This window comes from Homo sapiens, chromosome 1 (genome assembly GCF_000001405.40).
Source record: "Homo sapiens chromosome 1, GRCh38.p14 Primary Assembly".
NCBI classification, from domain to species: domain Eukaryota; kingdom Metazoa; phylum Chordata; class Mammalia; order Primates; family Hominidae; genus Homo; species Homo sapiens.
Window position 1 is genome coordinate 47,286,221 of NC_000001.11, and position 15,064 is coordinate 47,301,284.

Sequence of the window (15,064 nt, forward strand, 5' to 3'; positions counted from 1 at the left end):
CTATTTCTGAACTATAGTCTGCTCCACATATCTGCCTGCCCCCCACCACTAGTTACCGTTTGATTTAATCACCCACAGCTTTATATTTCAATATTCCAACTTCAATGGCTTTTTTTTTTAAATGGAGAAGATGCAGCTTGAGGAGAGGAACTTTAAAAAATAACACTGAAGACCTGCCAAATGATCCCTAAAAGTTCTGAGAAAGAGGCCGGGTGTGGTGGCTCACGCCTGTAATCCCAGCACTTTGGGAGGCTGAGGTGGGTGGATCACGAGGTCAAGAGATCGAGACCATCCTGGCTAACATAGTGAAACTCCGTCTCTACTAAAAAAAATACAAAAAATTAGCCTGGCGTAGTCCCAGCTACTCGGGAGGCTGAGGCAGGAGAATGGCGTGGACCCGGGAGGCGGAGCTTGCAGTGAGCTGAGATACGCCACTGCACTCCAGCCTGGGCGACAGAGCGAGGCTCTGTCTCAAAGAAAAAAAAGAAAAGTTCTGAGAAAGAAAGAATATTAGCTGTTTCAAATGTTAAAATGCACTATAGAATTCTAGTGATTAATGTTTTAAAAACACTGGGTGATCAATTTCAGGACCTGAGTGTGTGTAATGTCTTTTACTGTACATTTCCTATGTGATTTCTCTACACTTCACTTTTCTCACCTATAAAATGGGAGAAATGACCAGTATTATATGTAGATTTAAGGATGTTGGCCAGGCTGGTCTCAAACTCCTGACCTCAAGTGATCTGCTCGCCTTGGACTCCCAAAGTGCTGGGATTATAGGCGTGAGCCATCACACTCCAGCTAGTAGTTAATTTTATAGTAGTTTATCTGATAGGTCCAGATTTAAAACTATAAGGAAGGGTTGGGGACGATGGTTCACACACGTGATCCCAGCACTTTGGGAGGCCAAGGCAGAAGGATCACTTGAGGCTAGGAGCTCGAGACCAACCTGGCCAATACAGCGAGACCCCACCTTTAATTTAAATATTAAAATAAGAAACTTATAAGGAAGGGAAGAACAAATAGAAAGCACTAAACAAAACAGGGAGCAGATTCTTGCTAAGCAAGATAATTTTTTGACAAATACTTTTGTATTTTTCCTGTATAATACATCAACCCAAATGAAAACCATATTAGAGTTGCCACTTCATTAAAATTACTATCCAACTTCCTAGTGAATATGAAGGAATGCATTTAAAACAAAGACATTTATGGTACATAAGATTTAAAAAATCATTTCATCAGAAATAATTTAGTTATTTTACTCACCAAAAACTAATAAATATAATTTTTAAAAAAACACACACATAATAACAAAAAGATCTTTTACCTCTTAATTGAAAAATTCTTGGAAGCCTTACTGAAAAACTCTGTTTCTGCATTTTGGCTTTCAGCGCTCAGTTCACAACGGATTGGATTTTTGTCAGGAGGTTCAACATTCTGAAATGAAGTAGGTCATATTTTGAGATCTGACTTAAATAAGAACACCAGAGAATTCTATTTAGATGAAAAGTAGCTCTGAAACACTAGATGATGGAGTGGCAGACTTCTGATTTCTGTAACCCTCTTTTGTAAACTGTCCAGTTCCCTGCTACATAAGTGAAAAAGTTAATCACTTGTGTTATAATCACAGATTCAGTGAATATAACTATGAAATGAGAATACCATCTAAAGAATAAAATGACAAATATGTCTCTAAAACAGAAATATTAGATCTCAGTTAAAATGATAGGTATAAAATACAAAAACTTTATAGCTTACATAACCTATAAAATATAAAATGTATATAATATATAATATAAAGGTATTTTATATATAACATATATGTAATATAATGTATATATTATAATATTAAAATATATATTTATATAAAATATATAGATGTATAACATATACATGATCTCAAAGAAGGTACTAAATACGATCTGAGTGGACACGTGGTTATTTAAAAGTATTCAATATTTTTCTAATAAAGAATGTACTTTTATTAGTCTGAGACCTAAAATAACCAATAATTTTATTGAAAAGTAGCATTTGAATATTTTCATATAATGACACCTAGTTTCAAAGATCTACTTCCTCTTTTTTTTTTTGAGACAGAGTTTCCTTCTTGTTGCCCAGGCTAGAGTGCAGCGGCACGATCTCAGTTCACTGCAACCTCTACCTCCCAGGTTCAAGTGATTCTCCTGCCTCAGTCTCCCAAGTAGCTAGGATTACAGGCACCTGGCACTATGCCTGGCTAATTTTTGTATTTTTAGTAGAGACAGAGTTTCACCATGTTGGCCAGGCTGGTCTCAAACTCCTGACCTCAGGTGATCCGCCCACCTCGGCCTCCCAAAGTGCTGGGATTCGAGGTGTGAGCCGCCACGCCTGGCCTAAAGATCTACTTTTTCTATGATCATCATCTAGTTGTGTTTCTAGGTATTTTATTAGATGATATAGTAACAATCTATTCTGATTCCTTAGATACATAATATAAATAATGGCCTTTAAGTATAAAAAACCATTTCTTATTCCCACACATTTTAAAAATAATACAGTCATGGTCAGGTGCAGTGGCTCACACCTATAATCCCAGCACTTTGGGAGGCTTAGGCAGGTGGATCACCTAAGGTCAGGAGTTCGAGACCAGCATGGCCAACATGGTGAAACTCCCTCTCTAATGAAAATACAAAAAAAAAAAAAAAAAAAAATAGCCAGGTGTGATGGTGGGCTCCTGTAATCCCAGCTATTCTGGAGGTTGAGGCAGGAGAATCACTTGAACCTGGGAGGCAGAGGTTGCAGTGAGCCGAGATCACGCCACTGCACTCCAGCCTGGGCAACTGAGTGAGATTCCATCTCAAAAAAAAAAAAAAAAAAAAAAAAACATCAGGACAAAGAAAAGTACTGAGATCCCACAAAGTTAACCTTCACAAGTATAAAATGATATATGAACAACTGATATATTCTTCAAAGATTTTAGAAAAACATGGGCAAGTTATTCTGTGAGTAACCTCTGGTTCTCTATTGTAATTTGGTTGAAGATATGATCTCAGATTTACTAAAAAAATTTAACCATAAATGAATAAAGTTAATATTTAATAAGATTATTTATAAGTAAACAAAGCATAATAGTTTGGATTACTATTTTAAAGGGTAAAAGCTGTTGGGTTTAAACTGCCAAAGTGCAAAACCCTAAACAGTCACTAATGTACTAGACAATGAAATCACTTACTTTGAAAAGATGTAATGTTTCCTTACTGGTTAGCAACTGAAACCGAAAGTCAGGTATCTTGCCATCACAAGGGAAGCATTCATAAAACTCAGGTTCCTTATGTGTCATAGAATAGAGAACTATGATGAAATTTCCAGATTCTGAAAAAACCCTGCACAAAAAAAGTCATTTAATTAAAATTTAATGAGGATAACATGATGACACTCAAATAACTTCATGTGAGTCTCCCAATCTAGTTAACAAAATGACTAAAAGGTGCAATTTTTGTTCAAAAACTGGGGTCCACCACTTAGGAAGGCAAAAGGTGGGAGGATCGCTTGAGGCCAGGAGTTTGAGACCAGCCTTGTCAACATAGTGAGACCCTTCCTCTCTACAAAACAAAATTTTATTTTATTCAGGAGGCTGAGGCAGGAGAATGGCGTGAACCCGGGAGGCGGAGCTTGTAATGAGCCAAGATCGCGCCACTGCACTCCAGCCTGGGCGACAGAGCAAGACTCCGTCTCCAAAAAAAAAAAAAAAAAAAAGGAATAAGAGAGCAATTCAAAATTAATTTTACTGAGGATTTACTGTCAATATGAACTTAAAGCATGATCAGTAATTGATAATAAAACATAATTGTACTAAATCATAGCAAAGGATCTAAAACTAACATTTAATTTCTGCTATCTAAATATAACTAATTATCTTGAAAAGTTAAAACAAAATGTTAAAAGTAGAACTCCAAAAGCATCTGAAGAAAATACAAGTGATTTTTTTACTTCAGTAAATACACCTGGAGTGGGTGAATCTTTTCTAAACACGATATGAAAAAGATTAATAAATATGACTAAAAAACAGTAAGTCTGTTTGGGAAAAATATTGTTAAACTTAAATGACAATCTGGGGGGAAAACCGTTACTATATATCATCAATATGTGTTTCTCTATGTATTTTACATTATATATATAGAGAGAGAGCTTGCTAGCACAAGCAATATGAAAAGATGCACAGGCCGGGCGCAGTGGCTCACGCCTGTAATCCCAGCACTTCGGGAGGCCGAGGCAGGCGGATCACGAGGCCAGGAGATCGAGACCATCCTGGCTACCACAGTGAAACCCTGTCTACTAAAAATACAAAACATCAGCCAGGCATGGTGGCGGGCACCTGTAGTCCCAGCTACTCGGGAGGCTGAGGCAGGAGAATGGCGTGAACCCGGGAGGTGGAGCTTGCAGTGAGCCGAGATCGCGCCACAGCACTCCAGCCCGGGCAACAGAGCAAGACTCCGTCTCAAAAAAAAAAAAAAAGAAAAGATACACAATCTAAGAGAAAAATGGCTAAAGACATGACTAGGCAGTTCCTGGAAGATGAGGTTATAAATCATTGGAAAAGTTTATTTTTCATCTATCAGGTTAGCAGAGGTCAAAAGTTTAACAACAGCCCTCCACTCACCTCTCTGAGCTCATCTCCAGCTACTCTCCCCTTCCTTCACTCCTCTCTAGCTACAGTGGCCTCTTTGCTGCTCCTTGAAGATGTAACGTGTTGTTTCACCCAGAGCCCTTACACTTAACACATCCTTTGCCTAGGACAGTGCCCCAGACAGCCACAAGGCTTACTTCCTCACCTTAAGTCGGCCTCCCTGACCACCTATTTAAATTGCAACTCTTGGCCGGGTGCAGTGGCTCACGCCTGTAATCGCAGCACTTTGGGAGGCCAAGGCAGGCAGATCACCTGAGGTCAGGAGTTCGAGATCAGCCTGACCAACATGGAGAAACCCTGTCTCTACTGAAAAAATACAAAATTAGCCGGGCATGGTGGCACATGCCTGTAATCCCAGCTACTCAGGAGGCTGAGGCAGGAGAAACGCTTGAACCCAGGAGGTGGAGGTTTCTGTGAGCTGAGATTGAGCCATTGCACTCCAGCCTGGGCGACAGAGCAAGACTCCATCTCAAAAAAAATAAGTAAAATAAAATAAATAAATAAAAATTTAAAAATTAAAAATTAAATAAATAAATAAATAAACGGCAACTCTTTACTTGCCACTATCATTCAGACACACAACATCCTCCTCTCAGGCTTTATTTTTCTCCACAGTACTCATCGCCTTTTAACATACTATTTATTTTATTTATTCTGTTTATTGCCTGTCTCTGCAGGACTATTTTATTTTTTATTTATTTATTTATTTTTTGTTGCCCAGGCTGGAGTGTAGTGGTGCGATCTCAGCTCACTGTAACCTCTGCCTCCTGGGTGCAAGTGATTCTCCTGCCTCAACCTCCCGAGCAGCTGGGATTACCGGCATGCTCTACCACACCGGGCTAATTTTTGCATTTTTAGTAGAGATGGGGTTTCACCATGTTGGCCAAGCTGGTCTCTAATTCCTGGCCTCAAGTGATCCACCCGCCTTGGCCTCCCAAAGTGTTGGGATTACAGATGTGAGCCACCATGCCTGGCCTATTTTATTTTTTTAAGACAGGGTCTGTATTGTTCAGGCTGGAGTACAGTGGCACAATCATGGCTTACTGCAGCCTGAACTCCTGGGCTCAAGCGATCTTCCCATATCAGTCTCCTGCTGGGACTACAGGCATGTGTCATTACACCCAGCTAACTTGTTTTTTGTTTTTTTTTTTTGTTAGAGACAGAGTCTTGCTATGGTACCCAGGCTGGTCTGGAACTCCTGGCCTCAAGCGATCCTCCTGCCTCAGCCTCCCAAAGTCCCAAAGTGCTGGGATTACAGACATAAGACACCATGCCTGGTCTGGGGACCTTTATTTTGTTTACTCTGATCCCCAGTACTGTGAACATAATAGATATAATAGGTGCTCAATAAATAAATAAATAAATATTTCTTTCACAGTGTTAGTGCAGGTAGAGAAAAAGGCACTCTCGTGTACTGCTGGAAAAATTATAAATTGGTGCAGTCTTTTTGAAGGGCAATTTGGCAATATCTACCAAATTTTAAATTACATACTCTTTGGCCTAGAAAAAAACACTTTTAGAAACTTATCCTACAAATATACTAGCATATGCACACAAAGATGTATGCATAAAATGTTCAGTCTACCACTATCTGCAAGACAAAAGGGCCAGTTTTTAAAATACAGTATGTATTATAAACTCTTCAGTTGTAAAATATGTATATTAAATCTGTATATGCCAAGAGGTAATGATCTCCAAGGTATAATTTATACAGAAAAAAGCAACATAAAGAAAAGAAAGGATGCTATGGTTTAATTTTTACAGGCCAGGAAAAGGTGATACTTGTCTATGTTGAGTATTGAAATATTGACTATTTCAGGAAGGAAGCACAAGATATCACTTTACAGTGATTGCCTCTGAGAATGGGGTCTAGGGAAATGGGGAGGAAGAGAGATCTACTTTTATTGTAGATATTTACATATGTCAATTTATTACTATGTGCTTGTACTGCCTTTTCAATATAGTTTAAGTCCTTTACAGCCACCCAAGGTAGATAAAAATAGACCTTCTCATTTAATAGATAAAGAAGGTGAGAGACAAATACTGACAAAGATGTCACCTTCTTTATCTATTAAATGAGTTGAGGTTAAAAGTAAAGTTTCCCTAACTATTAATTCCAATGTTTAGGCTTCAGTTTCAGGAAGAAATTAAAAATCTTGTCTCAAGTATTTCTTTGTGTATTAGTAGTAACACTGTGTAACTTAATAAAACATCTGTAAGGTAACAAATCCAAACTCATTTGCAGTCATTTCACTGAAAGTTAACCTCCTTAATTATTAAATAGGATGCTACAGTAGACAATCTCCACAGTTTTTTTCCACCCCCAAAAGGTTTGTGTTCTGTGGTTAGGCAAGTGAATTCCTTGGTATTTCCAGGTATACTGCAACCTCATCTTTTTTTAATCTGGTTTTATTCTCATTTAATATAAGGTTTGTTTTTTCTTAATGTACGTGTTTATTTATAAGTATTGTAAAAGGTTACGGCATTACATGAATTTTAAATGGGACCATAAACTATGAATGGGGGAAAGGATCGAAATAAAGTACTACAGAATAAAATATCACTTGCCTTTCTTGAACAGAAGAATTGAATATGTATCGCAAACAGCAAGCCCATACCTGAGGACTATAGATATGTGTAATTCCAGACAGCCAACTAAAAGAAAAAGATAGAAATTAAAAACCATAGTCACTTACATATATAGCATAATTTACATTCTTCCTAAGATAACAAAGTAGACGTATGGCTTTTATCAGCCATACATTAAAAAGCCTTAGTAATAAGAAATCTAAAAACGTGCTGATAATTAAAAGGAAGAATATATAGACATTTGTATATATATAACTATATTGATATATATAGACAGACATATAGATATATATCGAGAGAGAGAGAGAGAAAGAGAGCAAGCACGCGTATCTCTGTCCTCTTTTACCTGAGATGTGGGAAAGAAAATGGTTAACAGAGATGAAAGCAGTATACTAGAATGAATTAGCTTGGACTGGAAAGAATGGGCTAAGGTAGTACAGACTAATTTGCAGCCTAAAACTACTTCACAGAGTTGCTGAGGATTAAATGCTGTAATATATACAGGTAGTCAGAAAGAGAGAAGGCTCTTAATATTTACTTAAGCATCAACAATCCATTGCCTATATTAGGACTGTAGCAAACTATAAGTAGATTTCATGGTCCAGAGAACATTCATGCATTCTCATTCACTTTGCATGTGCCATTCCCTTACATGGGTTCCCTTCCCCAACAATCTTCCCTTCTACTATCTAAACAATTGAAAGTCTAGCTCAAGTTTGTCTTCTCTAGGAAAATGCTCCCTATCATATCTTTCTTACAAATACTAAGTGTTCACTTTCCATACTGGTCACTTTATAGTAAATCATATACTTTATTTTTCTGTGTATGAATATTTGAATGTTTTATCACCTCACTTTGATTTTAAATTCTTTAAGAAGCTTTAAACCTCAACACATTATCAAGCATAACACTGTATATAATAAGTACTCAATACTGAATGAATATAAATTTCTAAATATTCTGTCTAAATATCATTAACTCAGATGGCTTGAGCCCAGGAGTTCCAGACCAGCCTGGGCAACATGGCGAAAGCCCGCCTCTACAAAATATACAAAACCTAGCCAGGCGTGATGGCCGGTGCCTGTAGTCCTAGCTATTCAGGAGGCTGAGGTGGGAGGATCACCTGAACCCCAGAGATTGAGGCTGCAGTGAGCCATGATTGTGCCACTGCACTCCAGCCTGTGTGACAAAGTGAGACCCTGTCTCAAAACATGTATACATATATAAAAAAAAGTAAACACATAAATATCATTAATTACTACTCTAAAGAGAAGGCCATTAACACTAAAGGAGATTTCTGCAAGATTGACTGACAGTGGATTTTAAATGGTATTATTATGAGCCCTGAGTTCTTTAGGGTGACTTAAGGATGAGTGGTAGTGAGAGAATACTGAAGAAACAGGGCTCTAAGCCTTCACCTTCAACCAGGAGAATTCAACTTATATTTTTTATTTTTTTTTGAGAAGGAGTTTCACTCTTGTTGCCCAAGCTGGAGTGCAATGGCGCAATCTCAGCTCACTGCAACCTCCACCTCCTGGGCTCAAGTGATTCTCCTGCCTCAGCCTGCCAAGTAGCTGGGATTACAGGCACGCACCACCATGCCTGGCTAATTTTTTGTATTTTTAGTAGAAATGGGGTTTCACCATGTTATCCAGGCTGGCCTTGAACTCCTGACCTCGAACTCCTGACCTCAGGTGATCCGCCCACCTCAGCCTCCAAAAGTGCTGGGATTACAGGCGTGAGCCACTGCGCCTGGCCATAGAATTAAGCTTTTATCTGTTTTATATGTTAGAGTTCTTCCTAATATTGGACAAAATCTGGCTGAGCATGATGGTTCACACCTGTAATCCAAGCACTTTGGGAGGCTGAGGCGGGTAAATCACTTGAGGCCACGGGTTCGAGACGAGCCTGGCCAACATGGTAAAACCCCGTCTCTACTAAAAAAGCAAAAATTAGCCAGGCATGGTGATGCACGCCTGTAATCCCAGCTACTTAGGAGGCTGAAGCACGAGAATCACTTGAACCTGGGGGATGGAGATTGCAGTGAGCCGAGATCTCTCCACTGCACTCCAGTCTGGGCACAGAGCAAGACTCCATCTCAAAAAAAAGATTGGGTAAAATCTTATTTTAGCTGATTCTACTAGTAAAATAAGAAAACCTGACAACCACTTATCTTTGTGGCTTTATAAAATGATCTAAATATTTATAGTACAACTGAGTCACATGCTTATCATATACATTTGAACATTTGGCTGATAAGGTTTTCATAAATAATGTAATACTTACATTCCCACCAATGGTAGAGAATAAACCTTGGGATCAGATTCCAACAAAAGTAACAATTTGCGTGTTTCATCCATGGTAAGATATCTAAACAGAAGACATTCATGTGAAAATAACTGAAATTATGTACTTTTTACCTAAAAGACATAATCTAAATGCTGAAGCATACTTTAGAAAGGGGAGATAATTCAAATGAACGTTGTCTTGCACACACAAAAGAAACAGAAACTTTTTACTGACTCAGTAAAAAGACTCTGGTAAGAGGAAGAGATTAAAGAGATTTAATACCTTAAAACTTCCATCTATCAATTAAAAGACATTGAAGATTATACACCTTTTTTAAAAGTTTTGCTCTATAACTTTACTTACAATTTACTTTAATCAAGAGTGTTAACATTAAGGTAGGCAGTTTCAGAACCAAATAGGTTTCCTTGGAAGAACTGAATTCCCTATCACTAGAAAATGTTCATGCATCCAAGTGATTTGACAAGACTGCAACAGATGTGACTTCTAAGTGAAGGAGACTGAATTAGGAGAAGTATGATCAACCTTCCATGTGCCATATTCCTCCAACCACTGTCAAAGGACTTTGGAACCATCATAAAACACAAAAGCTCACTCTTTCCTAAAAGGACATTATACTATATTTATATTTTATTATATTTATTATTGACAGCAAGTTATAAGAATACAAAAAACCAAAGTAGAATTGTTAATTTTATTGTTATGTCTTTCTTCAAAAACAATGCCATTAGTGGGTCAGGCATGGTGGCTCACGCTTACTGTAATCCCAGCACTTTGGGAGGCCGAGGTGGGCAAATCACTTGAGGTGAGGAGTTCGAGACCAGCATGGCCAACATGGCAAAACCCCATCTCTACTGAATATACAAAAAAAAAAATTAGCCAGGCATTGTGGCACACGCCTGTAATCCCAGCTACTCGGGAGGCTGAGGCAGGAGAATGAATCACTTGAACCCAGGAAGCAGAGGTTGCAGTGAGCCGAGATTGCACCACTGCACTTCAGCCTGGGCAACAGAGTGAGACTCCGTCTCAAAAACAGAAAACAAAAACAATGCCATTAGTGATATAAAGCCTTGGCAGTACCACTGATGATATATTTTATTGCTCTAATAACACTAAAACACAAAGACAATACATTTGTCAGGTCTTGTGACAAGAATATTAAGCCTGAGTTGGCGTAAGATTTACAAATCAACAATGACACAGCTGCTTTAAAAGTTCTCCCTCATGTCTTGCCCATCTGATAAATTTCTACTCCTTAAAAGAATTAGTTCAGGCTGGCTGGGCCCAGTGGCTCATGCCTGTAATTCCAACACTTTGGAAGGCTGAGATGGGTGCATCATGAGGTCAGGAGTTCAAGACAAGCCTGGCCAAGATGGTGAAACCCCATCTCTACTAAAAATACAAAAATTAGCCAGGCATGGTGACGGGCGCCTGTAATCCCAGCTACTTGGGAGGCTGAGGCAGGAGAATCACTTGAACCCAGGAGGTGGAGGTTGCTGCAGTGAGCTGAGATCGTGCCACTGCACTCCAGCCTGGCAACAGAGCAAGACTCCATCTCAAAAAAAAAAAAAGAATTAGTTCAGGCTTTCCATGATTTCCCCAGGCATTTTGGACATCCCTCCCCCTACTTTCCCAGCACTGTATATAAACCTCCATTATAACACATCATGTTTACATGTCAACATATTCAATAGATAGTAAGTATAGTTTTTAATCTATTTATTTCCAATGTCTAACATAATGCCTATGCCATAATGGGCCCTAGTAAATATTAGGGTATATAAAGGGCAAATGTCAAATTTTTTTTTAATGATGGGGTCTCACTACATTGTCCTAGCTGGAGAGCAGTGGCTATTCACAGGCACTATTGTAGCTTACTGCAGCCTTGAAATCCTAAGCTCAAGCCACCCTCCTGCCTCACTCTCCCAAGCAGCTGGGATTACAGGTGTGTGTCAATGTACCTGGCATGGCAAATGTCACCAATTTAATAGACGATTCTAGATAGGAAGTGGCAAGGAGAATAGGTGATTGACAGAATACTGAACATCCTGGTTATTACCAGCATGCCCGCCCAGCAGTCACAGATGGATAATTCCAAGAAAGGTAAATTCATGCTATACAAGTAAATGGGGATGGGTACTAAAGAAAACAAATTAATTTTTTTGTTAATTTAAACAAAAAATCCCATGCTCCACTTGAGAAGTACTTTATTAATTAAGAGGATTAAATGTTTCATTTAATTCAAACAATTTTTGCTCACTTTTGACCACTCCATGATTTTGGAATATACCAATTTTTCCTTTGGGCCACTCCAATCAGAAAGCACAGCTCTGGTCAGAATCTGGTTCTGAAGAGGTATTTTTAGAGAATAAGACTTGGAATTGAGTGTACTTTGGCAAACATTTTTAGATTGAATGGCCTAACAGGAACTAGGGTGGAGTCACTGGGAAAGGAAACCAGAAGTGTAATACTTGGAGCAGTCTCTGGTCAAACTTTAAAGTAGAGTAGTTATATTGTCTAACCTAGTTTTATAAATAATAGATAAAGAAAATAGATGAAGATTCAGGGAAGCAGCCTTGCTGAAGATTAGAAAGCATGCATTTTGGCTTACATTTCCTAAGAAATTAAGAGTGGAGATAGGAAGCTGGAGAGGATTCTACTCCAGCTCTGTGAGGAAACTCCACCCTCAAGTAGTTGGCAATTTGGTAAGCAAGAGTACTGTAACTTTTTATTTAATTATCTCCTTTCTCTATCTGCAATGCTCATTATTCACAGTTAAAACCACATACTATAAATGAATTCTCTAGCCTCCCTTGGGTTCATAATTAGGTTATAGTTAAGAAAAAAAAAAGGCCTAAAACCTAAATAAAATACAAAGAATAATACAGAATATACAATATAGAACACAATTTCCTCTTACATTTTCAAATAATAAATTATCAACCAATTTGTTTTTTTTTGTTTTTTGGTTTTTTTGAGACAGAGTCTCGCTCTGCCGCCCACACTGAAGTGCAATGGTGTGATCTCAGCTCACTGCAACCTCTGCCTCCCAGGTTCAAGCGATTCTCCTGCCTCAACCTCCTGAGTAGCTGGGATTACAGGCACGTGCCACCATGCCCAGCTTTTTTGTTTGTTTGTTATTTTTAGTAGAGATGGAGTTTCACCATGTTGGTGAGGCTAGTCTTGAACTCCTGACCTCGTGATCCACCCGCCTCGGCCTCCAATTTTAATATAATTTTTACCACCACTTTTTTTTTTTTTTTAGAACTGAGGTCTCTGGGGCTGGGCATGGTAGCTCACCCCTGTAATCTCAGCACTTTGGGAGGCTGAGGCAGGAGGATCACCTGAAGTCTGGAGTTGAAGTCCAGCCTGGCCAACATGGTGAAACCTCATCTCTATTAAAAATACAAAAATTAGCCGGTGTAGTGGCATGCACCTGTAATCACAGCTACTCAGGAGGCTGAAGTGGGAGGATCACTTGAACCAGGGAGGTGGAGGTTACAGTGAGCCAAGATCCCACCACTGCACTCCAGTCTGGGTGACAGAACAAGACACCATCTCAAAAAAAGAACTGAGTTATCCAGACATTATACTTTATGGCCACTCAGTTTTGTCTTTTTTTTTTTTTTGAAACGGAGTCTCTGTTGCCCAGGCTAGAGTGCTGTGGTGCGATCTCAGCTCATTGCAACCTCCACCTCCCAGGTTCAAGTGATCCTCCTGCCTCAACCTCCCGAGTAACTGGGACTACAGGCATGCACCACCACGCTCAGCTAATTTTTATATTTTTAGTAGAGATGGGGTTTCACCATGTTGGCCAGACTGATCTGCAACTCCTGACCTCAGGTGATCTGCCCGCCTAGGCCTCCCAAAGTACTGGGATTACAGGTGTGAGCCACTGCGCCAGGCCCTACCACCAATTTTTTGTAGGTGGTGGCACAACTTAAAGAAAATTTCATATTCAACGAAAATAAACCATTTCATTTTTTACTTTCCCTGGTTATTAACCAAGCCACCATATCTCTGGCATATAAATTGACTGGACAATTCTTTCACATTACATGGACATTCTGAAAATATACTAATGCAACTAACATTTAGATTAATGTATCTTTTACTTACCCATATTTATAAGTCCCTTGAACTTGAGAAATATTCAGATTACTGCTCAAGTTTCTTGCCAGAGCTGTTGGAATAATGGGGATGGGCTTCACAGGTGTGCATTTAAAGTTATTTGCTAGAGTTACTGCTGCCCAATGCAAGTCAAATTCCACACTGTCCAAACTCTCCCTGGAAGTGATATGAACTCTTAGGGAAAGCAGCTTACCACAGTCCAAGGAATCTTTGCTACATATATGGCACTGTAGAGCCTGAGAAATCAATATTAAATAATTATTTTAAAACTTTGAAATGTGCCCATATCGCCAAAGTTTATTTTATACTGATACATATACATATATAATATCTTGCACAAATAAAATTAAATGAGTTCTGATTTACAGCATTTCAGTTCTCGTTTATTCCATGTGACCAAAAGATTATGTGAATAATTATATCAAAGCAAGTAAGATTTACTGTCCCAAGCTCCACTACACATTTTCAATGTAGATATCCCAGCAGCACTTCAGTCTTATTGGGGAGTCACCCCCAATAAATATTTACCACATGGGAAAAAATGGACATAAAATAATTTTTTTTTTTTTGAGAAGGAGTCTCGTTCTTTTTGCCCAGGCTGGAGTGCAGTGGTGCGATCTCAGCTCACCACAAACTCCACCTCCCGGTTCAAGCGATTCTCCTGCCTCAACCTCCCAAGTAGCTGGGATTACAGGTGTGTGCCACCACACCCAGCTAATTTTTTATATTTTTAGTAGAGACAAGGTTTCACCATGTTGGCCAGGCTGGTCTTGAACTCCTCCTGATCAGCCCACCTCAGCCTCTCAAAGTGCTGGGATTACAGGCGTAAGCCACCGTGCCTGGCCTCATAAAATAATTCCGATTGAGCCTCAGAGAATCTAAAGTCCATTCCTCTTTGATTCCTTTCTTGTTACCACAAATTGTCAAGTTAGTTCTCCCTCTGTATTTGCCCATGCCCACTGTGTCCTTCCTAGTTTCACTGCTACCATTGTACTATAGGTTAATACATCCCTCTATAATACACACCTGCCCAACTTCTACAATGGCTACTCTAACTTCGGTCAGCCTACCCTATCAGATTAACTATTTCTGATTTGACAGTGTTTTCTTTTTTCAAGAACCTTCAATTTCTACATGGCCCATATGACAAAGTTCAAATTCATCAGGCTGGCAGACAAGGCTCTTCTTTCTTGAGACAGGGTCTTGCTCCCACCAAGGCTGGAGTGCAGTGGTGTGATCACGGCTCAACCTCCCGGGCTCAAGCAATCCACCTGCCTCAGCTTCCCGAAGTGTTGGGATTAAAGACAGGAGCCACCATGCCCAGCCAAGCCTCTCTATAATCTGACCAAATTAATACTCCAGTCTGAC

At 39.1% G+C, this 15,064-nt stretch overlaps 1 protein-coding gene across 54 annotated transcripts in view; it reads right to left on the reverse strand.

Moving 5' to 3' along the window:
• STIL (STIL centriolar assembly protein) overlaps positions 1-15,064 on the reverse strand; it is a 64,758-nt gene that overhangs the window by 36,082 nt on the left and 13,612 nt on the right. For 28 of the 54 annotated variants that reach the window (XM_047428403.1, XM_047428312.1, XM_047428337.1 and 25 more), the window contains 5 exons: positions 13,685-13,932; positions 9,545-9,628; positions 7,238-7,324; positions 3,215-3,365; positions 1,331-1,440 (listed from right to left, as the gene is read on the reverse strand). In XM_047428403.1, the coding sequence (XP_047284359.1) occupies positions 1,331-1,440; positions 3,215-3,365; positions 7,238-7,324; positions 9,545-9,628; positions 13,685-13,932 (680 nt within the window). The remainder of the gene's footprint in view (positions 1-1,330; positions 1,441-3,214; positions 3,366-7,237; positions 7,325-9,544; positions 9,629-13,684; positions 13,933-15,064) is intronic. The other 26 variants (NM_001377417.1, XM_047428438.1, XM_047428368.1 and 23 more) reach the window with 2 other exon arrangements.